This window comes from Homo sapiens, chromosome 6 (assembly GCF_000001405.40).
Source record: "Homo sapiens chromosome 6, GRCh38.p14 Primary Assembly".
Classification (NCBI taxonomy): Eukaryota; Metazoa; Chordata; class Mammalia; order Primates; family Hominidae; genus Homo; species Homo sapiens.
Window position 1 is genome coordinate 51,058,603 of NC_000006.12, and position 26,264 is coordinate 51,084,866.

General features: G+C 37.3%; 1 annotated feature.

Moving 5' to 3' along the window:
• Positions 13,080-13,280: a silencer, noted in NCBI's record as "peak5848 fragment used in MPRA reporter construct". NCBI's record gives its function as "represses an SCP1 promoter by STARR-seq MPRAs in K562 erythroleukemia cells {active_cell/tissue: K562}" and the evidence as "EXISTENCE:reporter gene assay evidence [ECO:0000049][PMID:32103011]".

A 26,264-nucleotide genomic window follows, 5' to 3' on the forward strand; every position in this document is an offset into this window, starting at 1 on the left:
CTGGCTGTCCTTGCTCCTCAGCTTGCAGATGGCCTATTGTGGGACCTTGTGATCCTGTGAGTTAATACTAATAAACTCCTATATATGTAAAATATAATATCATATTATATATATAAAATATAATATCATATATATATATAAAATATAATATCATATATATATATATATCCTATTAGTTCTGTTCCTCTAGAGAACCCTAATGAATACACATTTTATTTCCAGTTTTTACATGGCCCCCAACCATTTTCAGAGTTAATAGCTGTTCTTCCCACCTTCCAATCTGTAACTTAAGTTTCTTAGTCTTTAGTCGTAATCTGGTATTCCAGAATGTCCAGTACCCAGATAAACTTTACCTTTATTTTTTTTGCAATGCCTCTGCATTCTCCTACTGATGGAGACATTTTAAATTATTTTCTGTTATTACCCTCATGTTTCTATACTTCGATGTCTTTGTATGCTGTTCAATTTATTAGAATGCCCTTTCTAACGTATTTGCCTCACAAACTTGTATTCATTTCTTATGATTCGATTCAAACATCACCTCCTGAAGAAACACTCAAAACTTTTATTACCCTTCTGACAGACATTGACTATGACTTAATGTGCTGTATTTAAAAATTGGTTTATACGTCTGTCCTCCCATTCAGCTGTGAGTGTCATAAGGGTAAGGATTGCCTTATTTCTCTTTCTCTAATACTTTGTGTGGCACATAGTTAGCACTTTATAACTACTCACTAAATACTCTGAAAATACAGCTTCAATCATTGTTACATATATGGAAGATCTTAATTGGTTCTTTTCCCTCTGATTTCCGTTGAGTTGAGAAATAGAAACAATGAAACAGTGTACACCATCTGTTTCATTGTTGGCAAACCCAGATAAGAGAAATTGGTTGAGCCTTCTTGAGTAGGCAGTGGAAGTATGAGATGAGACCCCCACCATGGCTAAGCATAGCTGGCCCAGGATGGTGAGAGAGAGACTATTAGTTTTTGAGGTAACCCATGGACATGTGAACCAATCAGTTTGGCCATTGTTCCTCCTGAAGGGAAAAATGAGTTATGGGGGTAGAGTAGGACGACCAGCTCATCCCAGGTTTCCCAGAACTTTCCTTGTTTTAGCACTGAAGTGCCATGTCCTGCAAACTCCCATAGTCTTGGCAAACTGGGATAGGTGATAACCTTAAAGTAGAAACAAGGATGGAAGCCATCTTCTCATCACTTGTGAAAGAACAGAAGAATTGGTGGCAAATGACATTATTAGATTGAAGAAAAGTTCTCCCCAACTATTATGCTCCTTAGTGGTCCAACTATGAGTGGTTCTACCTTGTCCACTAAATTAATTATAAAATACTCACCTAGGCATTCTAGGACTTTCTCAATTTAGCCCCAGTCTGCCTTTTTTATTTATCACCTAGTATTCTACAAATGTCTATTGAGAACCTACCATTGGCCAGTTATATTTTATACCCATGGAACAACATAGTAAAAAAAATTATAATATAAAAGGCTTTAAGCTTCCTAAGGGCAAGGTCTGTGGTGATACACAGTCCCTCACATGGCCCCAGTGATGACTCCTTCCATGTTATAATTCTCTCCCTTTTAATGTGGGCTAGACCTATTGACCGACTTCTACTGAACAGAATAGTGCAGATGTGATGGGATGGTGGGATGTCACTTCTGAGGTTAGGCTATAAAAAGACAATGGCTTCTGTTTTGGGTGTTCTCTCTTGAAGTGTTCTCCCTGAGAACACTGGGAAGTCAGTTGTGTCCCAAGGCAGCCCTGTGGAGAAGCCTACATGGTAAGGGACTAAAGTATGCCGATAACCGTGTGAGTGAAATAGGAAGCAGATCCTTTTCTAGCCCCCTTCCTGTGCAGTTGAGCTTTCAGATAAAATAGCAGCTCTGGCCTGCAGCATAACTTCCACTCATGAGGGATTTGAGCCAGAGGCACCTGCTGAGTCATGACTCAATTCCAAACCAATTGAAACTATGGAATAATACAATTTTGTTGTTTTAAACCACTAGGTTTTGGGGTAGTTAGTTATGCAACAATGTATAATGAATAATGAATACATCTATACCTGTGCTTCTTTTGTTGGATCCTTTTCACTGACGGTCTCCCTAATAAAGTGCTTGTATATAACAGATGCTCAATTTCACTAGAGAATGAATGAATGAATGACACGTCTCTCCTGAAAGAAATTCTGCTGATTTTTTTTGCAAAAAAAATTGTAAAACTTGTTTATATCAGGGACTCTATCTTTGAAACAGGTTTATTTTTCTGTATTGCCTATGATAATGTTTTATGCATATAGGATCTTAAATATTCTTGATTGGATTTGATGTCTTACTATTTTTTAAATACATAAAATATGTGAAGCTACCACAGTGCTGAATTAGAATACAGAGTTGGAGCTCATCTGGATAAAACCCAAGCTTGTATGAATAAGTATAATGAAGACCAGTGAATTGATCTCAGGCCAACTCATAACCTCATAATGTTTATTTCATTATTTCTTCTTTTTTGATGTTCATTACGTCAGTCACATCTTTTATCACTTGTTTAATTAGAAAATGGGCATGGGAATAGGCAGAAAATTTGGTGACTCTCATACCCATAATTAAAGCTATAAATTGGAAAGATTTCTCTATTTGGGGAATTGACTCAATTCCAAATGGCAGGGGGAATGGTCATAGAATTGCAAATAGTACTAGCCCAGGAGTTAGGAGACTTGAGTTTTTGTCTTAGTTTTGTTAGGAAGTAGTCCTGTAAGTATAAAAATTCAAGTCCTTTCCTTGTGCTTTAGTTTCTTTATCAGTAAAATCAGGAGGCTGGGCTAAGGCTCTCTGTTTCTTTCTAGGAAGAAAAACAAAAGGCCTCTGTGGCTACCTTCTGTGAACTAGGCACTATATAACTGTTACAAAAGATAAAGAAAAAGGCTTATTTTTTAATGACTAAATTATTTGAGCTTGCAAAAATTAGTAATTTGCAGATTGTATGCAAAATGTGATTGAAAAAAGTCAGGGAAATCAGAGTGAGCCTAGAAAGCAGGCTTCTGGGGAGAGGCAGATCTGCTGGGAATCACATGCCCCCAATAATGTGATGTTACCAACCGGAGTGCAGAAGCTATTTGGAAAGCTGACCAATGGGATTGGGTGAGATTCAGTAATTATCAGCAATTGACTAATATTTATCTTTTATTCCTTGTCAACATTTCCAGGTAGGAGCCTCTCTTCTGTCTGGCACAGGGTAAGTACTCAATAAATATTTGTGAAATGAATGAATTTTTTTAAAAGTTCCTCTTTTTCCAAGTTCCTGTTCCATGACTCCATAATTAAGCATCTACCATATGATAGGCACACTATAAAAGCCTGCTCAATGCACCCTCTTTCAGCATGATGGAGTGGTAAGATAAGGGACTTTGAAGGTGGTCTTATTTGGGGTTAAAGGTATGGACTTGCAAAGGGTCCTTAACCTCTCTAAACTCCAATTTCATCACACATAGATTATTTTTCTAATCTCAAAGGACTGTTAGAACTACTTTAGAATAAATAAAACAGTTACACGTAACATCTGACCCAGAATATAAGTTCAATATATTTTAGTTGTTTTCTTTTATTGCTTCACTTCCATTTTTAGTCACCTTTTCTCTATTATTATGTCCATGCAAAACAAAACGAGATGAAGAAAAGTAACAATAATATATCAAAGCCCACAATAGAATTGGAAAACGCTGTGTGTGTGCCTTATGTGTGATTCACCCTGTGAGTTCTAGGGGCCAGATAAGATCTGGTTATGTTATGCATGATTATATTGAATTTTTCTTAGACTTTGAACCCTTAGGAATTAAAAGCATATCTTCTATTTTGTGATATTTTTGTAGTCTACATTGTCATTTGTTTGAAGTTTCATTAATATTGACTAATAATGATGTCAGTTCTCTTAGCAGTGTAAAATACAATGACATCACTGAAATTTATGTAGAAGAAATTGTTTTTGTTTTATGACTTTATCTCTTCTAAGAGCTATTCATTGACAAATTATTTTCATTATGTGAATGTTAGCTGGTGGGAGGGGGAGGATGGAGCTGAGGGCTAATGGGGGAGAATAAAATGGTCTAAGTATTTACAAATGAGATCTCTCTAGAGAAGTAGATTTTACCAGTTAATACATCTAAAAAAAATAAATAAAATCTAACGCTTCCTTCCTGTCTTCTCATTCTGGGTGTACATGGAACAGAATCAATTGGAGATCCCACTACCTGCACAGGTTGTGAGCCCTGGGCAACCATTACTGACAGGAATTTGTTGTATTCCTCATGATAGAAAAAAAAATGCTTGAAAATGTCAATGTGTATGTTTTCATGGCTTAGAACAATGCTTGAGAATATCTTTGTCTTTGTTTTCATGGCTTATGAATATAAACATGGTAAGTTTTCACTCAAATCATTTGGTCAGCAGTCACAAATTCAGATATAATGTCATCTACCTTCACTCTTGTTCATTCTTTAACTGACTCTTGATTGTCAATCTTGTACCCTGTGTTAGTGAGTCTAGTCCTGCTGGTAATTGTTATGGTGCTGATTCCTGGGAATTTGGACTGGAGATGAAGGGAGGGAGAACTAAATAGAGGCAACTATTCATTATGAATAAAAACATTACTGTGATTTCTTATAATGTATTTTTCTCTTACCCTGTATTAGAATCTGTAAAACCTAGGCTTAATTGGACAAGCTTCCACATTCAGAACTCTAACTGCTGTGGCTTATTTGAGAAGTATTTGTCAATGTAGGCCTCTTTACTATTACAGTTTTGGGCAGAAACCTTTGCAAGAGCCACTGAATTAATGAGATAGAACTTTGGGGAAAAATCAGAAAGATTTTATTGAATCCCTGAGTTGAAGGATTCTGTAGCAGAGGTTCTTATCAGTCTCTCAACAGAGGCTGGGCTGTAACAAAATTTGTACTGGCTTGCTGCAAATGAGAAAAGCACAAATAACAACTGTAAGTTTTCCATGAGGCTAAAATATTTCAATTCGAATTGCTGTTCTTTGTTCTGAAATTATAAATTTCTTGTCTTTTTGCTGGGAGAGGATTATTTCTTTTATGAGACAATGGTAAATAATAGTAAAAATGAATGAGAGTCTTTTAAAATGTTATTAATGTCATTAATTGGCAAAATATCATTTTAGTCCCCCTATATTAAAAAATTATGATCTGTAAACAAATTAGGAAAACATTTCACTAGGGATAATCTATTATAGTGATTTAAAAAATGTAATGAATAACCCCTCCATTTTTCCCACAAAATGAAATTTTATATGGAAACTTATGTGCAAAGTAAAATTTCTCTGGTTGGAGCAAGATGAGGGAGGCTACTGATCTTCCCCACAGCTCCTGAGATAACCCTTTCATAGAATCCTTGGGCTCCCTCAAACATAGTTTTAGAAGGATTGGTTTGGATGACAGTTTCTCAACTTTGACACTCTTGCTGTTTTTGGCTGGAAAGCTGGAAAGTTCTTTGTTGTGGGGACTATCCTGTGCATTGTAGTTTGATTAGCAACATCACATGTCTCTCTAATGCAAGTAGCACTCGCCTCTTCTAATTGTGAAAAACAAAAATGTCAGTAGCACCCACCTCTTCTAATTGTGAAAAAACAAAAACGTCTCCAGATACTGCTGAATGTCCCCTGTGTGTGGGTGGGGGGGTCAAAATTGCCCCCAGTTGAGAACTACTATTCTAGGCAACATATGAACCCATACAGTGCAGATATGAAGAGATGAGCTAAGTAGTATTGTGATGCTTTTTGCTTTTCTAAAAAAATCTGTTATTCCACCACCTTTCCTCTGTTCAAACTATGTTTGGACTCTATGTGCCAAGGAAATTGAAGTCACAGCTGAAATGCAAAGAAAAACAAAATAAGGTAATGCTCAGCTTCTGATCTCCCAAGATCTAGAGCCTAGATTAAACAATAAACTTGGAAGAATACATAGCTATCCTGTTTTACCTGGCACAGTGAGTGAATATAAAACCTTCTAGGCTAGAAGAGACAGGCTAGAGATTTTAGAAAGGAGGTAAGAGTATTAGATGAGGTGTGAAAGTTCTGTGTGTATGATGAGAGGGGCAGAATAGAATTTTTTTTAGGCTTGAGGATCTGAGATTAGAAAGCAGTCTTCCTCTCCCTGTGGGCGAAGCCATAAAAAGCAGAGAACTCCCAAGCAACCCTGGGATGGGCACCAGAGAATGGAAATGCCGTTGCGGTCTGTCTAGGTGTAAGAAGACCAAAGAAAAACTGTCATGTTTCCTGCAGCCACAAAGAGGGACTGGAGAACATGCAAAATTTCTTGTGCCTCATTCCCTGCCCCTTGCTCTGTGTGAAGGAAAATGAGCTATGAAACATGTCAATGGGCATGTAGAAGTTTTGTCCTTGCAGGGAATGCCACATTGAAGACTACAGAGTGGAACAACCCTCTAAGGAGTGAATGATACTCTAGTTACACTTCAACCAGTGCTGGCATAGAAGAGGACGTGTCCGTGGACCAGAGAGGACCTAACACATCTGATATGATTCCATAACAGGAGAGATACTGATCAAGATTGTGAAGAACATACGTCCATCACCAATGCCTCAGTTCCTTAGTGTCAGCCCTAGAATTGAAGAGTGATAGGTGAATCTTGAATGTCATGGAGCTTAAATCTGAAATGTCTGAGGGAAATCATAATCAGGAAGGCAGCTGAATTTACCACCATGTAATTGTATCATATTTTCTGCACTGTGCTGAATGGAGCTTGAGATGGAAATCTATTCCTCTTCGTCCCCACTTTGCATGTTCCCCATAATATTGCCATTAGAATGATCTAACAAGTAAAATACCTTCATACAAGCAAAAAGACAAACTACTAAAAAACCAAAAGTCCTTAGCTAAAAGCACCAATGTTATCATTCAGTGACTAGATTAGCATCAGGATAAGAGAAAATAAAAACCACACTGAAATTTAGAGTTACTGAGGTCTGTAGCTTACTTTGAGTGCTTCAAAAAATAAGATGATTGGATAGCAGGTGAGAGAAGTGGATATATATGTGATAAAGCAAATACAGAAAATGTTAATTATGGATTCTAAGTAGTGGATATATAAACATTCACTGCAAAGTTGCTTCAACTTTTCTGTATATTTGAAAATATTCACAGCATGTCAACAAAACAAGCATGATAAAGCCACTGTTTGTGCTAAGACCAGCTTGTATTTAGTTTAGGCTTATTATGTAGTAGTAGAAACATTAGAAATGGTTTTAACCTCTTTAAATATACATATGTTTATGGGAAGGTTATGTATATGTTTATATGTAATGAATGTGAACAAACAAAGGTCAGATACACATTCTGCTTCCCTCCAGTCCAATTTCGGCTGCTGTGCTGCACATTTTAGGAGTCTTAATAGAATTAGCCACATTCTCCCCACTTGCCCTTACTTCTCATATTTCACAACTCCTCCTGGAATTTTCTAATAATTGTACAGTAGTGTGTTGTGGTTCATCATCTTGACTTGACACTTTTGGGGGGGAATGTAAACAAAAATACTTCTCACTACTATTGAAGCCTTTGAAACATAAATTAGAATTCCTTGTCCTAATTTGCCGTTGACAAGTCTTAGAGGCAGAGGTAAAACAAAATTCTTCAACCAGCAAACTTGCTTCTACAGGTACAAAGGAATTTCAATAGTAGCCTCAGGAAAAAATGGATGGAACTGTCAGTCACATAAAAGAATTGAAGAGGGGAAAAGAACTGATGCTTCATGAAATGGGAGAATTCAAATATTTCAGCATGTCACTGACCTTCGTACTGAATCTCACATTCTTTGAATCCCTAAAGATTAAAAAAATGGTTAGGTACCTCCATTAAGGCCTAATAAAAAGTGTTCATATCTCACATATTAATTATATGTAGTATTCATCCCACATAACAATATCAAGCCATAAGAACTTCTGGTGTGTAGCCATTTTGAATATCTGTAATACCTCTTTTAAACTTGAAATATAATTAGCATGTCATAAAAGGCATGGATTTTAAATATTCAGTTGGATTTTTTTTTGGCAATGTAACTGCTCTCCTAAAATACTTGTGACATTCTTAAATTGGGTCAAAAATTTCAAATAATTTCAAGTGTCTCATTGCTAATTAGCAGTTATATGAAATTAATAGTAAGTATTGCTCTAAGTGGTAATCTAAATAGTTCATGACCATACTTGAAATTGTGTATGATAATGAACCTTCTTCAAGTTCAATTTGATATGTTTCCTGGAAGGAGGGAGCAGAGAAATCTTACTAGATGACTGTAAATGTTTGTGTTGTATAGGCTTTAAAATCTTGACAAAACCTGGGAGTTTTGACCAATATAATTAATTTCAAAAACAACAATAACAACAAAACACACACACAAATTTTATTATGACTGGAGAAAAATAAATTCCAAATAAGATAGTAAATTGGGGTTTGTTTTTACAGCTCCTAAATACAAGGGTACTGTTTGCCCCAGAGAGAAGCTGACTGCTATCATAGCAGCCAGTAACCAATGCCCATGGAGTCCCTCCTCTCAGTATTGCCTGAGTACCTCTGCCCCTAAGGAGCCACCCTCAGGTTTGTTGTAGGACCAGAAACTCTGTTGGTCTGTCTGAGTGTGCAGTGCTGGAATCCTATGCTGGGTCCAAAACCTCCTCCCTCCAACAGAACCATTAAATATGCACCTATTCTGTGGAAGGTATTGGATAAGTATACTACATTCCTTATTTCCTTGTATCCTCTTCTTCAAACTATTCCCATTTTAGAGCTAAAGCCTATGAAGCTTAGAAAAATTAAGAAAATTTTCAAAGTCATCCAGCTAGTAAGTGGTACGCCTTCTAAATGGACTGTGTTGACACTATTGCCCAGAAAGTTAAAATTAAATTAATTCAATGAGATAACTGTATTAAAACAAATTTTAATTTGGGATGTTTAACACATACAGTTAATAAACATTAAGCACCATAAAAGTTAGGTATAACACATTCTAACGGTTTTTGTTACTGTTTAGAGAAGGGAGGAATGGGCTAGCCTATTAATTAAACAAAAATGGCTTTACTTGTATCCATTTAATTTGTTTATGATCATGATTAATATTTTATTTGAATGCAGCCTTCCATGAAAAATAAGTCTGAAAGCCACTGATCTGGTCTAACTCTCCCATAATATAGGTAAATAAAACTGAGGTCTACAAAGTTGTTTGTATTCGGTTACTCCAAACTGAGTGGGAAAGCCAGAATTAGTTTGACCCAGTTTGACAAACATATATACAGTTTCTGTTATGCAAGTGACCTTGAGTTAGTTAAACAAGTTAATATGCATAATCCTGGTTCTCTACCAGCTCACAGTCTATGAGAGAACACAAGTTTCGTGATGATAAGTCTATTAATGTTTCTGCCTTATCTCATTGCTGATTGTTTAATTTTACCAGTTCATACACACTGTCTCTCATCTGCCAATCATTTCATACTAAGTATGAGTAGCTTTGCTCAAGACTCACTTATTAGATTTGCTTCCCTGTCCTTAAAAGGGTAGCCACAGAGAATTGTGTACTTTGGGTAGGGGAAAAAGGGAGAAGGAGAAGGAGACTGTCTGAAAGATAAACGAATCCTGAAGTGGCATGGGTGGGTGGTAGGCTTGGGAATGCAGGAGACAAACTTTGCCTATGTTATTATTTACCCACACTCTTCCTAGGCTCTAGAGTCTCGTGCATGGTATTACAGGGTCTTGAGCAGAAGGATAGCTCAAGTAAAAATATAAGCATTGACTTTGGCAGGTGATGATACGTATTAGGCTGCTCTTGCATTGCTATAAAGGAATACCTGAGACTGGGTAATTTATAAAACAAAGAAGTTTAATTGGCTTATGGTTCTTCAGGCTGTACAGGAAGCATATCGGCATCTGTTTGGCTTCTGAGTAGACCTCAGGAAACTTACAATTATGGCTGAAGGCAAAGGGGGAGGAGGCACATCACATAGTGAGAGCAGGAACAGGAGAGAGATGGGGGAGCTGCCACACACTTTTCAACCACTATATCTCTCAAGAACTCACTCATTATAATGAGGACAGTACCAAGGGAATGGTGCTAAACTATTCAGGAGAAATCTGCCCCCAGGATCCAATCACCTCCCATTGGGCCCCACCTCCAACACTGGTGATTACATTTCAACATGAGATTTGGGTAGGGACACATATCCAAAGCTATATCACAATGTCATAATCCTTAATATCAATTTTCTCATCTCTAAAATGTAATTACAATAGTGTAAATAATAATAGAAATGAAACAATTGAGGTAATGCTTATGAATGTCTTCGGACAGTGCTCAATTTAATGGGCCTCAGGGCAGTCCTGACCATAGAATGCTATCCAGAATAACTGAAGGTGACTGGCTATTGTTTGGGAATTAATTACAATGACCTAGCCTGGCCATTTGGCCAGTACATTGGTTTCCTTTGCTTATTATAAAGCCAGAGTTTAGGGAAGTCTCTCTACCTGGAGAGACTTTCTTTGCAGGGCATCTTGAATTATTCTGATTTTTTAGTTGCGTTCAGAAATGGCTAATTCCTGGAGAGATAAACCAGATGCAGATTATAAACTTGTGTGATGGACCTACTCATGTGGGGAAACCCGTGGCTTCCTGGCAGTGAACTTGGTTGCAGCAACCAAGAAAAGAAAGACCCTTGAGCAGGATTGGCGCATAATCACTCCCCTCAATATTATCACTCCATGAACCAATGTTAGACCTCTGCACAGGTGGAGGTTCGTGCTTGAGGGCCATTGAACACTACCCATTTCCCTAATGCATCATAATTAAACACCTGTGCTAAGTAACTTCTTACTGATCCACTGTGGAAATTTGCTGGGTGCTCAACAGTCCTTAACATTTTCTATCTCTTACTTGGGAGGGAGGTCTCACGGTTATTCTTTGGTTCTCCTGGAAAAAAAAAACAAACAAAAAAACAGCCCAACAACTTCTTTCTACCCCATGAAAAACTGTTATTGAAATGTGGATTTCAGGGCCTTTCAAAGACACTTAGGGAAGAAAATATTTTGTAAATTCAGGAAGCATTCCTGTTTTCTCAAAAGCAGTGGTAATTAAAATGCACTGTCCAACAGGGAAAACTGTGACATGCATGACAGCGCTATTTTTTTTTTTTTTTTGAGATGGAGTTTCACTCTTGTTGCCCAAGCTGGGGTGCAATGGCATGATCTTAGCTCACTGCAACCTCTGCCTCCTGGGTTCAAGCAATTCTTCGGCCTCAGCCTCCCGAGTAGCTGGGATTACAGGCACACACCACAACACCCGGCTAATTTTTAGTAGAAACGAGGTTTGACTATGTTGGCCAGGCTGGTCTCGAACTCCTGACCTCAGATGGTCCGCCCACCTCGGCCTCCCAAAATGCTGGGATTACAAGCCTGAGCCCTGCACCTGGCCTGAGGGTGCTGTTTTTTTTGTTTTTTGTTTTTTAATTGTGTTTTTAATGTCACTGATTCAGTGAAGAGAATGTCTAAGAATGTAGCATGTTTTTAATGAAGTTGGCTGTGCTATTAATATGAGAAATAGGTATAAATTAGGTAAACTAATGTTGCAGTGTGTCAAAAGCTCAGCAAAAGGGCCCTTCTCCATTGTCATTCACAGTTGCAATACACTTCCATACTGCTGCATTGAGCCTTTTTCTTTCATCTTGAACAGCAGCCAGAAAATAGGTTTGGCTCTAGGATAAATTTGTGGCTTAAGTGGAGTCTGTCTTCAACTTGTATCACTTCTCTTTCTTGGTAATAACCTCACATTTTGGGTGTTGTGTCTCTTTTCTGTTTACATTGTTCCCTCTGTCAAAACAAGAAATAGTAATAGCTAATGGATACTCTTTATTGAGTATCTATCTAATCTTGTCTGTATTGTCCACGCACACTGAATAAAGCACATTTTTTAACCCCTATGTTACAGCTGACATAAGTTATGCTGAGAGAGATTAAGGCAAGTTTATTGGGTCCTATCGTACTTATGTGTCATGGTTGGCCATTAAACCTACAATCTGTGTGACACCAAATCTGTGAACTTTCCAATCAAGGAGAGCATCTTTATCTGTAATTTATGCTTGGTGATTGTTTCAGTAATTACTCTTTAGAAAATGTGTTCTCTAGATTAGGTACTTTATTTTAAGCTTTTAATTTCTAGCACTGCATTGAAATGCCTGGCAAGGAAAATCTTGGACATTATCAAAAAGGTAGGGAGAAATTGGGAAATCCATTCATATATATGGGGTATTGAGGCAATTCTCCAGATTTTCTTAATTTTGTCACTTAAGGTGATTAATTTGGGGAGAATTCTCCCATTTTCCCCTTTTTCCCCTTTTCTTCACTTTCCTAGGAAAATATTTAACTCTGTATTTGTAGAACAAGCAAGAATCCCTGAGGAAAATATCATTAGTGTGGTTTTGGGGATGCAAGGCTACAATTTTATGTTTCTAGAGACAAATGTGCCTTCAGTTCTGTTCAGTAATTCTTTCCTATGTTCCATGTCTTTCATTTCTAACAATAGCTATTCCACACCTTTATCACGTTCTTCAGGATTTAACCACCTGTCAGGTGATGACTGCAATCTGAATTGACAGAGACAAAGCTCTCAAATAAGAATTCCATATTTTCCTTGGGATTCCAATGGATATAAAAACCATTCACTTTCTCATTTCTCTCTTTTTAGAAAAAGATATGTCTGTTCTTTTCCTCGGAGATAATCATTTCACCTTTGTGTTCTGGATCTTCTTAACAGCTCTACCTTGCTCTATCATTTCTTCTTTCTCTCTTCTGCAACTTTTGTATTTTCTTTTCTACTGATTCCTTCCTTTTACTTATAAACATGCTCTAGTTTCTCTTGTCTTACAAAATCAAAATAATAATTCTTAAAAATGATCAAACTTCTTTTGATCTTATGTCTCCTCCATCTATTGTTTTATCCTTATTTTTCTTACAGGTTTATTGATATTTTTTTCCCAGCCTTTGGTTCACTTCCCCACTGCCTAATAACTCTTCACTCCCTTGCAACCGGCCTTCTATCTCCTCCACTGCATGAAGCTTATGACTTCTGAACCACGCAGCCCCATCAACAACTCAGTCCTGGTTTCATTGAGCATGTCTGTGTAATTGAATACTCTTGTCTTATCTTCCTTGACATTTTTCTTCTGTCTTTCCTTTTGATTGTTGCAGTCTTTCCAGTCAACATTATAGACATTTCTTCCTCCACTTAATCTATAAATATGGGATAGGTTCTTTCCTCAGTTGTCTTTTCCCGCTTTACACTCTGTCCTTAGGTGACCTTATCTAGGCCTGTGACTTTCCCTACACTCTGATGATGTGCAATTCTGTATCTCTATCTCAGATCTCTATTCTGATTTCTCCAACAACATAACAAACCATTTGTTGATGTTATCACTTGGCTGTACTGTGGGATCCCCAGATTCATCATGCATTCATTCATCATCTCCCCCTACACACCTCATCACAAATCTTTTCTTTAACCTTTTCTTTTAAAAAAATGTATTTCGGCCAGGCACAGTGGCTCACATCTATAATCCCAGCACTTTGGGAGGCCGAGGCAGGCAGATCACGAGGTCAGGAGATCGAGACAATCCTGGCTAACATGGTGAAACCCCGTCTCTACTAAAAATACAAAAACAAAAAATTAGCTGGGCGTGGTGGCGGGTCCCTGTAGTCCCAGCTACTCGGGAGGCTGAGGCAGGAGAATGGCGTGAACCCAGAAGGCGGAGCTTGCAGTGAGCCGAGATCGCACCACTGTACTCCAGCCTGGGTGACAGAGCAAGACTCTGTCTCAAAAAAAAAAAAAAAAAAAAATATATATATATATATATATATATGTATATATATATGTTTCTATAGGTTTTTTGGGAACAGGTGGTGTTTGGTTACAGGAATAAGTTATTTAGTGGTGATCTGTGAGACTTTGGTGCACCCATCACGCAAGCAGTGTTCACTGTACCCCATGTGTAGTCTTTTACCCTTCGCCATCCCTTACCCTTTCTCCTGAGTCTGCAAAGCCCAGTGTATCACTCTTATACATTTGTGTCCTCAAAGCTTAGCTCCCACGTATGAGTGAGAATATACAACGTTTGGTTTTCCATTCCTGATTTACTTCACTTAGAATAATAGTCTCCAACTCCATCAGGTTGCTGTGAATGCCATTATTTCATTCCTTTTTATGGCTGAGTCATATTCCATATATATAGATAGAGATAAAGATATGTATATACACACACATACATGTATATAATATTTTCTTTATCCACTTGTTGATTGATGGGCATTTGGGCTTGTTCCATATTTTTGCAATTGCAAATTGTGCTGCTATAAACATGTGTGTGCAAGTATCTTTTTCATATAATGACTTCTTTTCCTCTGGGTAGATACCCAGTAGTGGGATTGCTGGATCAAATGGTAGATCTACTTTTAGTTCTTTAAAAATCTCCACACTGGTTTCCATAGTGGTTGTACTAGTTTATATTCCAACCAGCAGTGTAGAAGTGTTCCTTTTTTACTGCATTCATACCAACACAGGTTATTTTTGAATTTATTGATTATGGCCATTCTTGCAGGAGTGAAGTGGTATCACATTGTGGTTTGGATTTGCACTTCCCTGATAATTAGTGATGTTGGGCATTTTTCCATATGTTTTTTGGCCATTTGTTTATCTCCTTTGGAGAACTATCTATTCATGACCTTAGCCCACTTTTTGATGGAATTGTTTGTTTTTTTTCTTGCTGATTTGTTTAAGTTATTTGTAGATTCTTGATATTAGTCCTTCATCAGATGTATAGATTGTGAAGGTTTTTCTCCCACTCTGTGTGTTGTCTGTTAACGCTGCTGATTATTTCTTTTGTGTGTGGAGGATTTTTAGTTTAATTAAGTCTTATCTATTTATCTTTATTTTTGTTGCATTTGCTTTTGGGTTCTTGGTCATGAAGTCTTTGCCTAAGCCAATGTCTAGAAGGGTTTTTCTGATGTTATCTTCTAGAATCTTTATGGTTTCAGGTCTTAGATTTAAGTCTTTGATCCATCTTGAGTTAATTTTTGTATAAGGTGAGAGAAGAGGATACAGTTTCATTCTTATACACTTGTCTTGCCAATTATCCCAGCAACATTTGTTGAATAGGATATCCTTTCCTCACTTTATGGGTTTTTGTTTGTTTGTTTGTTTTGTTTTGCTTTATTAGAGGTCAGTTGGCTGTAAGTATTTGGCTTTATTTCTGGGTGCTCTATTCTGTTCCATTGGTCTATGTGCCTATTTTTATACCAGTACCATGCTGTTTTGGTGACTATGGCCTTATAGTATAGTTTGAAGCTGGTTTATGTGATGCCTCCAGATTTGTTCTTTTTGCTTAGTCTTGCTATGTCTATGTGGGCTCTTGTTTGGTTCCATATGAATGTTAGGATAGTTTTTTCTTGTTCTATGAAGAATGTTGGTGGTCTTTTGATGGGAATTTCACTGACTTTTGTAGATTGCTTTTGGCAGTATGGTCATTTTCACAATATTGATTCTACCCATCCATGAGCATGGGATGTGTTTCCATTTGTTTGTGTTGTCTATTATTTCTTTCAGCAGTGTTTTGTAGTTTTCCTTGTAGAGTTTTTTCATATCCTTGGTTGGGTACATTCTTAAGTATTTTATTTTATTTGCAGATGTGAAAGAGGTTGAGTTATTGATTTGATTCTCAGCTTTGTCACTTTGTTGGTGTATGGCAGAACTACTGATTTGTGTGCATTAATTTTGTATCTGCAACTTTGCTGAATTCGTTTACCAGTACTAGGAGCTTTTTGAATGAGTCTTTAGGGTTTTCTACGTATACAATTTTATCATCAGCAAGCAGTAACAGTTTGACGTCCTCTTTACTGATTTGGATGCTCCATTTTTCTTTCTCTTGTCTGGCTAGTACTTCTAATAGTATGTTGAACAGAAGTGATGAAAGTGGGCATCATTGTCTTATTCCAGTTCTCAGGGGAAATGCTTTCAACTTTTCCTTGTTCAGTATAATGTTAGCTGTGGGTTTGTCATAGATGGCTTGTGTTACCTTAAGGTATGTCCGTCTCATGCCAATTTTGCTGAGAGTTTTAATCATAAAGGGATGCTAGATTTTATCAAATGCTTTTTCTGCATCTATCAATATGATCATGTGATTTTTGTTTTTAATTATCTTTATGTGGAGTATCACATTTATTGACTTGTGGATGTTAAACCATCCCTGGTAATGAAACCCACTTGATCATGGTGGATTATCTTTTTGATATGCTGTTGGATTCAGTTTGCTAGTATTTTGTTTAGGATTTTTGCATCTATATTCATCAGGATATTGATGTATAGTTTTCTTTTTTTTTTGTTATATCCTTTCCTGGTTTTGTCATTAGGGTGATACTGGCTTTATAGAATGATTTAGGGAGGATTCCCTCTTTCTCTATCTTTTGGAATAATGTCAGTAGGATTGGTACCAATTCTTCTTTGAATGTCTGATAGAATTGAGCTGTGAAGCTCTGTGGTCCTGGATTTTTTGTTGTTGTTGTTGGCAGTTTTTTTATTGCCATTTCAATCTCACTGCTTGTTATTGGTCTGTTCAGAGATTCTATATCTTTCTGGTTTAATCAAGGAGGGTTGTATATTTCTAGGAATTTATTCATCTCTTCTAGATTTTCTAGTTTATGTGCATAAAGGTGGTTAAATAATATTTTGTATTTCTGTGGAATCAGTTGTAATATCTCCCATTTCATTTCCAGTTGAGCTTATTTGGATCTTCTCTCTTCTTTTCCTGGTTAATCTTGCTAATGGTCTATCAATTTTATTTATTGTTTCAGAGAACCAGATTTTTGCTTCACTCATCTTTTATATTTTTGTTTGTTTCAATTTCATTTAACTCTGCTCTGATCTTTGTTATTTCTTTTCTTCTGCTGGGCTCAAGTTTGGATTGTTCTTGTTTCTCCAGTTCCGTGAGGTGTGACCTTAGATTTTTTTATTTGTGCTCTTTCAGACTTTTTGATGTAGGCATTTAATACTATGAACTTTCCTTTTAGCACTGCTTTTGCTATATCCCAGAGGTTTTGATAGGTTGTGTCACTACTATCATTCAGTTCAGAGAATTTTTAAATTTCTGTCTTGATTTTATTATTGACCCAATGATAATTCAGGAGCAGGTTATTTCATTTCCATGTATTTGCATGATTTTGAAGGCTCCTTTTGGAATTGATTTCCAATTTCATTCCACTATGGTCTGAGAGAGTACTTGATATAATTTTGATTTTCTTAAATGTACTGACACTTGTTTTGAGGACTATTATATGGTCTATCTTGGAGAATGTTCCATGTGTTGATTAACAGAATGTATATTATGCAGTTGTTGGGTAGAATGTTCTGTAAATATCTGTTAAGTCCACTTAAAGTATACTTTAAGTCCACTGTTCGTTGTTGACTTTCTGTCTTGATGGCCTGTCTAGTGCTGTCAGTGGAATATTAAAGTCCTCCACTATGACTGTGTTGCCATCTATCTCATTTCTTAGGTCTAATAGTAATTGTTTTATAAATTTGGGAGCTCCAGTGTTAGGTGCATATATATTTAGAATTGTGATATTTTCCTGTTGGACTAGTCCTTTTATCATTATATAATGTCCCTCTTTGTCTTTTTTAACTGCTGTTGCTTTAACATTTGTTTTGTCTGCTATAAGAATAGCTACTCCTGCTCACTTTTGATGTCCATTTGCATGGATTATCTTTTCTCACCCCACACCTTAATTTTATGTGAGTCTACAGCAGAAACTTGGTTAGTGAATTCTTATCCATTCTGCCATTCTGTATCTTTTAAGTGGAGCATTTAGGCCATTTATATTCAATGTTAGTATTGAGATGTGAGATACTATTTTATTCATCATGCTATTTGTTGCCTAAATACCTGTTTTTTTTTTTAATTGTGTTACCATTATATAGGTCCTGTGAGATTTATGCTTTAAGGAGGTTCTATTTTGGTATATCTCAAGGATTTGTTTCAGGATTTACAGCTCCTTTTAGCAGATCTTGTAGTGCTGACTTGTTGGTGGTGAATTCTCTCAGCATTTGTCTATCTGGAAAAGACTGTATCATTCCTGCATTTATCAAGCTTAGTTTCACAGGCTACAAAATTCTTGGCTCATAATTATTTTGTTTAATGAGGAGAAAAGTAGGACCCCAATCCCTTCTATTGTGTAGGGTTTCTGCTGAGAAATCTGCTGTTAATGTGAGAGGTTTCCCTTTGTAGGTTACCTGATTCTTTTGCCTCACAGATCTTATGATTCTTTCCTTCATCTTGACATTAGATAACCTGATGAGTATGTGCCTAAGTGATGATCTTTTTGTGATGAATTTCCTGGGTCTTCTTTGAGCTTCTTGTATTTGGATGTCTAGGTATCTAGCAAGGCTGGGGAAGTTTCCTTGATTATTCCCTCAGATATGTTTTCTGAACTTTTAGATTTCTCTTCTTCCTCAGGAACATCCATTATTCTTAGGTTTGGAAATTTAACATAGTCCCAAATTTCTTGGAGTCTTTGTTCATTTTTTAAATTATTTTTTCTTGTCTTTAACAGATTGGGTAAATTCAAAAGCCTTGTATTCGAGTTCTGAAGTTCTTTCTTCTTCTTTTTGATTCTATTGCTGAGACTTTACAGGCATTTCTCTAAGTGTGTCCTTGATCTCCAGAATTTGTGATTGTTTTTTATTTGTGCTATTTATTTCACTGATGAATTTTCCTTTCATATCCTGTATCACGTTTTTTATTTCTTTAAGTTGGATTTCACCTTTGTCTGGTGCCTCCTTGATTAGTTTAATAATCAACCTTCTGAATTATTTTCCTGGCAACTCAGAGGTTTTATTTTGATTTGGATCCATTGCTGGTGAGCTGGTATGATCTTCTGGGGGTGATAAAGAAATTTGTTTTGTCATATTACCAGAATTATTTTTCTGGTTCCCTCTCATTTGGGCAGCCTATGTCAGAGGGAAGATCTGGGATTCAGGTGCTGCTGTTCAGATTCTTTTGCCCCACAGTGTGCTCCCTTGATGTGGTGTTCTTCCTGAGAGCTGAACTGTAGTGATTGTTTTTGTTCTTCTGAGTACTGAGACTGGTAGTGGGGAGTGTCTGCAAAGAGTCCTGTGATGTGATCTGTCTTCAGGTCTCACAGCCATAAATACCAGCACCTGCCCCCATGGAGGTAGCAGGGGAGTGAAGTGGACTTTGTGAGGTCCTTGGTGGTGTTTTTGTTTAGTGCGCTGGTTTTGTGTTGGCTGGCCTCTGGCCAGGAGATGGTGCTTTCAAGAGCACCTTAGCTGTGGTCCTATAAGGAGGATGCAAACTTGCCCTAGGGACACCTGGTTAAGCATTTAGCTTTCTCAGGCGGTGGGCAGGGCCATAGAGCTTCTAAGAAATTATGACCTTTGGCTAGAGAAAGACCACCTGGTGGGGACAGGGATAGGCTCAGCCTCTCCTTGGGGAGGGCTTGCTATGGCTGCTGTGGGGGATAGGTGTCTGGTTCCCAGTCCAGAGGATTTATATTCCCAGGGGGATTATGGCTGCCTCTGCTGAGTCATACAGGTTGCCAGGGAATTGAGGGAAAGCCAGCAGTCACAGACCTCACCCCATTCCCATGCAAACAGCAGTCCTAAAGGCCAATCTCACTCTCACCATGCCCCTGCAACAGCACTGATTCTATTTCCAGGCTGCTAGTGACCAGGGCTGAGAACTTGCTCTAGACTGCCAGCTTCCCCGCTGAGAAAGCAAGCAGATTTCACAGTTTTTCCACATCTCAGGGAGCCTGCAGCAGCTATACAGTTCCTTCAAAGGGTCTGTGGATTCTCTCCGCTTTCCTGGTTTGTTCCTATGGTAGTTCTTGGAGCAAAAGTTCACAATGTGAGTCTCCACATGCTGCTGTGTCTGTCCAAACAGGAGCTGCAAGCTAGTCCTGCCTCCTATCCACCACATTAATACTCATCCTGAATCTTACTCCTGATCCTCCTTAAGAACATAGCCATTCAGCTATATTCCCAAGCCAGAAATGGGAGAATCTTCTCATATTCTTCCAACTCTCACCCTCCTTGCCACATGCAATTTGTTATCAATTCCCTCTAAATATTTCCTTTGTATTTTTAATATTTTTAGCTTTATTGAGGTATAATTGACAAAATTATATATATTCAAGGTATATACAACATGATATTTTGATATACCTCTACATTTTGAAATGACTACCTCAGTCAAGCTAATCAATATATGCATGACCTAACCTTTTGTGTGTATGTGATGAGAATGCTTAACATCTGCTTGCTTAGTAAGTATAAATATATATACTTGTTTTTGTCTTATTATCTGTTCAGTCTTATTACTTCAGTTCAGGCTTTCTTCACTGTTGGCTGGACCACTTCAACAACCTCCTGACTGATATGGTTATTACACTATTGGAAGCAAGGAAATCAATGAAAACCTTTTGCAGCAATTTAGGCTCATGATGAAGTCTGCCTTAACTAGGGTAATGACTTTGGGGATGGAGGATGAGGGAAGTGAGGCAGGGGAACAATGGAAGAAAACAGAGAATGTATGAAACAGTTGTGAAAAACTGGAAATTGAACTGACCAGAGAAATGCATGAGATTTCTTAGACAGCCTGAGATCCACTTGAAAAACTCTGATTCTCTAGTGGACCCATTCTGTACAAATGTGATACCTCTAGCAGCCCCTGTATAAGTGAAGAGAAGTGGGCGTTTGACTTTGTAATGGGTTAACATTTTTATGGATGTTGAGATGGGGTGAATATATTTTGCAAGTGGGAGGAACATGAATCTTTGGGGTCCACATGTCATACTACAGTAGGCAGAATAATGCCTCCTTAAGGCCTCCAGGTTCTAATTCCCAAAACCTTTGACTGTTTCTTCATATGGAAAAGGGGACTTTACAGGTGAGATTAAGAATCTTGAGATGGGGAGATTATGCTGATTATTCTGGTGGGCCCTAAAAGTAATCACAAATGTCCTTATAAGAGGGAGGCAGAGAGATATTTGGCAGAAAAGGATAAGGAGATATGATGACTGGAAACAGGTTGGAGTGATATCCTTTAAAGATGGAGGAAGGGGTCATGAACCAGGGAACATTGGCAGCCACTAGAAGGTAAAAAGGCAAGGAATTGTTTCTCCACTCATAATTTCCAGAAGAAACTAGCCTTGCTAACACCTTGATTTTAGCCTGGTGTAACTGATTTTAGACTTCTGACCTCCAGAACAATAAGGGTATATTTGCATTGTTTTAAGTGACTAAGTTTGTGGTAATTTCTTATGGCATTAACAGGAAAATAATGCAGGCTTAATTTAGGGTAGGGGTTTTAGCAGAGAGATGGGGAGATGGAAAAAAGGCATGAGAGTAGAGAATAATTGGAACAGAATAGTTAAAATGATAGTTTAAGTACTCAGTTTATTAGGGTAGAAGTGGAGATAGACAGGGACTGATAGGAAGAAAGTAGAAGGCTCAAGTGGTTGGAAAGCCCAGTACAGGACCGGAAGATTTCTATTTCAATTGCAGTAGCTGGGTGAATAACTTATAAATTATATAAATTTACCTGGTTTTAAAAACATACCAGCTGGGCGCTGTGGCTCATGCCTGTAATTCCAGCACTTTGAGAAGCTGAGGTGGGAGGGTGACTTGAGGCCAGGAGTTCGAGACCAGTGTGGGCAACATAGTGAGATGCCATCTCTACAAAAAATAAATAAATTAACTGGATGTGATGGTGCATGCTTGTAGTCACAGCTAGTCAGGAGGCTGAGGTGAGAGAATCGCTTAAGCCTGGGAGGTTTAGCATATAGTGAGCCATGATTTGATTTGATCCCTAAAATCACCAAATATGGGTTGATACAGTTGTTAACAAAGTATTAAAAGTACATGCTTTGGTAAAATTTTTGGAATACAGCAGCCCAATCTGTATTGGGATTGAGATAAAATAAAAAGTCCAGCTAGGAAAGCTGATAATTTACATTTCGATAGAAACAAATAGAATAATAAAAATCTGGTAACATATCTGCTCAAGTCCAAAAAATATCGCAAGAAATCTACACTTACAGATGCACACATGCATAAATAGTCAAGTATGTAATTAACTGGTAGACGGGTCATAGCAAGTTTAGGAACTGAAACACATCAAAGTCCATTTCATAATACTATTAGCAAATATGATATATTTTATTATTTTATACCCACATAGCAGGAAGCTAATGTTATTTGGAAACGATTCAAAAAGGTAGTTTAGTTAGATTTACATATTAGTTATCTCACCCAAAATGTCTATCTATACCAAGACACATATTTAGCTATAGGGTCATACTATTATAGTGTTCATGTTAGATTCATAAGAGTATGCACATGCATTGTATTTATATGACATTTTCCTTGTTACTTACAGTATTACCTATGATTGCCCATCTTCTTTTATCACAATTGGATGCTTAATTTATGGAGAAAGCTGCTGTCAGTTTTTATCTGCATCTCTTCTCCTCTCCTCTGGGTTGTTATGTCCCTCTATTGCTGTGAACTTCATGTAGTCCGACTATAAACCCATCCAAAGGAAAACTTAAGCAGCCTCATTGTCAGTTGGACTCTTTGCCTTTGTTCTATAAGCAATAAAACTATATGTCCCTGGCTAAATGTAAATAGAGAGGTTTAGTATTGTCCTTCTGGAGATAAACTACAATGGTTTATTTTTCCACATTGAATCATTTAATGGATTTTTTTTCCACGTGATGGTTTTTTATATGCTAATGAAACATGTAAAGTGTGACATTAAATGGTATAAGGGTCTAAGTAGTACTAACATGGTAAGATTAGAAAATTCTTATCTAAGTTCTCATCCCTGTGATGCATTCAGCACATCAGTCAGTACAACCAAGTTGTCTTGAGCAGTCACTCATTTCAGTATTCCAACAATCATAGGAATAATACTGCCTAGCTATATCAAAAGCACATTTTATATTAGGGCACAGACTAATAAATTATAGTCCATGGGCCAAACCTGGCCAGTTTCCCATTTTTGTGAATACAGTTTTACTGAAACAAAGCCACAACTATTCACTTGCATATTGTCTGTGGCTGCTTTTAGGTGTACAATGACAGAGTTCAGTAGTTGTGCCAGGGACCTTATGGTCTGCAAAGCCTAAAATATTTACCTGGCCCTTTAAGAAAAAAGGCCCTTAAGTATGCCCTTACCTCACTAACCCCATATTTGAGTCAAGTATGTATATAATACAGTTGTAGTGTCTTACTTTGAAATGTATCTTAAATGTTCTGAGTTAATTTTCATTTCAAACTTTCTCTTGTTTCCATAAATTATTTAAGTGTCCTAGGAATTCCAGTTTCGGTATCTAAACTTCATTTGTGCCTTCTTGACAAAATATGCATTCTGACTTTTGTTTCAAAAACAGGATTTCTGTTTCTATAATACACTGCTTTTATTTTAGAGTTTTTTATAATGTGAATGTCATACTTGCCTCTTGACACTTGTATTATAATGAAATTTTATTTTATGTGTGGTTTCCAAACCAAATTCAAATCATTTGAGTTTTGAATTCATAAATAACAGAGCCTATGCTGTGGGGTTTTATTAACAGTGGTGACCTCTCTAATGCCACTTTTAGGAATTGTCTGAGCTTTGGACTCATCACTTAGTTGCAATATAAACTAACTTGCCTTATTTCCAAAATGAAACTATTAGTTGCTTGTCTGCAAGGATATGAAGCACCCTGGGCTTCAGAGTCTGTGCTCTTGGCTTTTGTATGTTGAACTAGCCTTGTATCCTAGGGATGAAGCCGACTTGATAGTGGTGGTAAGCTTTTTGATGTGCTGCTGGATTTGGTTTGCCAGTATTTTATTGAGGATTTTTGCATCAATGTTCATCAGGGATATTGGCCTGAAATTTTCTTTTTTTGTTTCTCTGCCAGGTTTTGGTATCAAAAGGATGCTGGCATCATAAAATGAGTTAAGGAGGAGTCCCTCTTTTTCTATTGTTTAGAATCGTTTCAGAAGGAATGGTACCAGCTCCTCTTTGTACCTCTGGTAGAATTTGGCTTTGAATCTGTCTGGCCCTGGGCTTTTTTTGGTTGGTAGGCTATTAATTACTGCCTCAATTTCAGAACTTGTTATTGGTCTACTCAGGGATTCAACTTCTTCCTGGTTTAGTCTTGGAAGGGTGTATGTGTCCAGGAATTTACCCATTTCTTCTAGATTTTCTAGTTTGTTTGCATAGAGGTGTTTATAGTATTCACTGGTGGTAGTTTGTATTTCTGTGGGATCAGTGGTGATCTCCCGTTTATCATTGTTTATTGTATCTATTTGATTCTTCTTTCTTTTCTTTATTAGTCTTGCCAGTGGTCTATTTTGTTAATCTTTTCAAAAAACCAGCTCCTGGATTCATTAATTTTTTGAAGGGTTTTTCGTGTCTCTATCTCCTTCAGTTCTGCTCTGAGCTTAGTTATTTCTTGTCTTCTGCTAGCTTTTGAATTTGTTTTCTCTTGCTTGTCTAGTTCTTTTAATTGTAATGTTAGGATGTCGATTTTAGATCTTTCCTGCTTTCTCCTGTGGGCATTTAGTGCTATAAATTTCTCTCTAAACACTGCTTTGGCTGTGTCCCAGAGATTCTGGTACGTTTTGTCTTTGTTCTCATTGGTTTCAAAGAACTTATTTATTTCTGCCTTAATTTCATTATTTACCCAGTAGTCATTCAGGATCAGGTTGTTCAGTTTCCATGTAGTTGTGCAGTTCTGAGTAAGTTTCTTAATCTTGAGTTCTAATTTGATTGCCGTGTGGTCTGAGAGACTGTTTGTTATGATTTCTGTTCTTTTGCATTTGCTGAGGAGTGTCTTACTTCCAATTATGTGGTCAATTTTGAATACGTACAATGTGGTGCTGAGAAGAATGTATGTTCTGTTGATTTGGGGTGGAGAGTTCTGTAGATGTCTATTAGGTCCACTTGATCCAGAGCTGAGTTCAAGTCCTAAATATCCTTATTAATTTTCTATCTCATCGATCTGTCTAATATTGATGATGGGGTGTTAAAATCTCCCACTATTATTGTGTGGGAGTCTAAGTCTCTTTGTAGGTCTCCAAGAACTTGCTTTATGAATCTGGGTTCTCCTGTATTGGGTGCATATATATTTAGTATAGTAGCTCTTCTTGTTGCATTGATCCCTTTACCATTATATAATGCCCTAAATTGTCTTTTTGATGTTTGTTGGTTTAAAGGCTGTTTTATCAGAGACTAGGATTGCAACCCCTGCTTTTTTTCTTCTTTCCACTTGCTTGGTAAATATTCCTCCATCCCTTTATTTTAAGTCTATGTGTGTCTTTGCACATAAAATGGGTCTATTTGTTTCCCCAAGAATCACATATTTTATAAAAGGAGAGTTCTAACCATCTGTTTCATATGGGACTGTGGGTCACCATTAACCTGTGGGAGGAAGCACAGAGTGCTCATAGGCCCACTTGTCTGCACACAATACTGTCAGGTGTGAAGTGAGGAAAGTTGGGTTAAGAGGACCTCTGGCATGAGGAAGTAAAAGGGAGATATTTTTTCCTTCTAAAGTGTGGACAAGCCACCCTCTGGTGAGTATGCTGCTTTTGTACTCATAGAATAGGTACTTTTTTTTCTCGACTTATGAAGAGGCACCCATATTGAATACAAATTAAATAGACATGGCTCTTGCAAGTAGTCAGTGAACTCTCTCTCCCAGGGCACCATGGTATTTGGTAAGTTATTTCCCGCAGAATGGCAGCTTAATTCCTAGATAATTTGGACCCCTTTATGCAGATGAATTTGTGTTGCCATCCCCCCTCCGCTGCTTTTTAGAACAAAGCTGATGGAAATTTAATTCTGTGAAACAAAAACAAAAATAATAGTATAAGTTAAATGCATTCAAATGCTCAGCTGTTTTCATTTCATTGCGTTTTGAGGAGATTTAGCAATACTGCTCTAGGCAGATGACAAATTCGGAGAGGATATGAAACTGCTTGTATAGATTATTTTGTAAGAGTTAGAATACCTAGTTGTATTTACCAAGGAAAAAGTTTAGTTAGGATTAAAGTAGCAAAGCTTCCTGTTTTAATGAGAACTAAAAGTGAAAGACCCAGACAGGGGCCTTGTGACTCCCGAAGAGT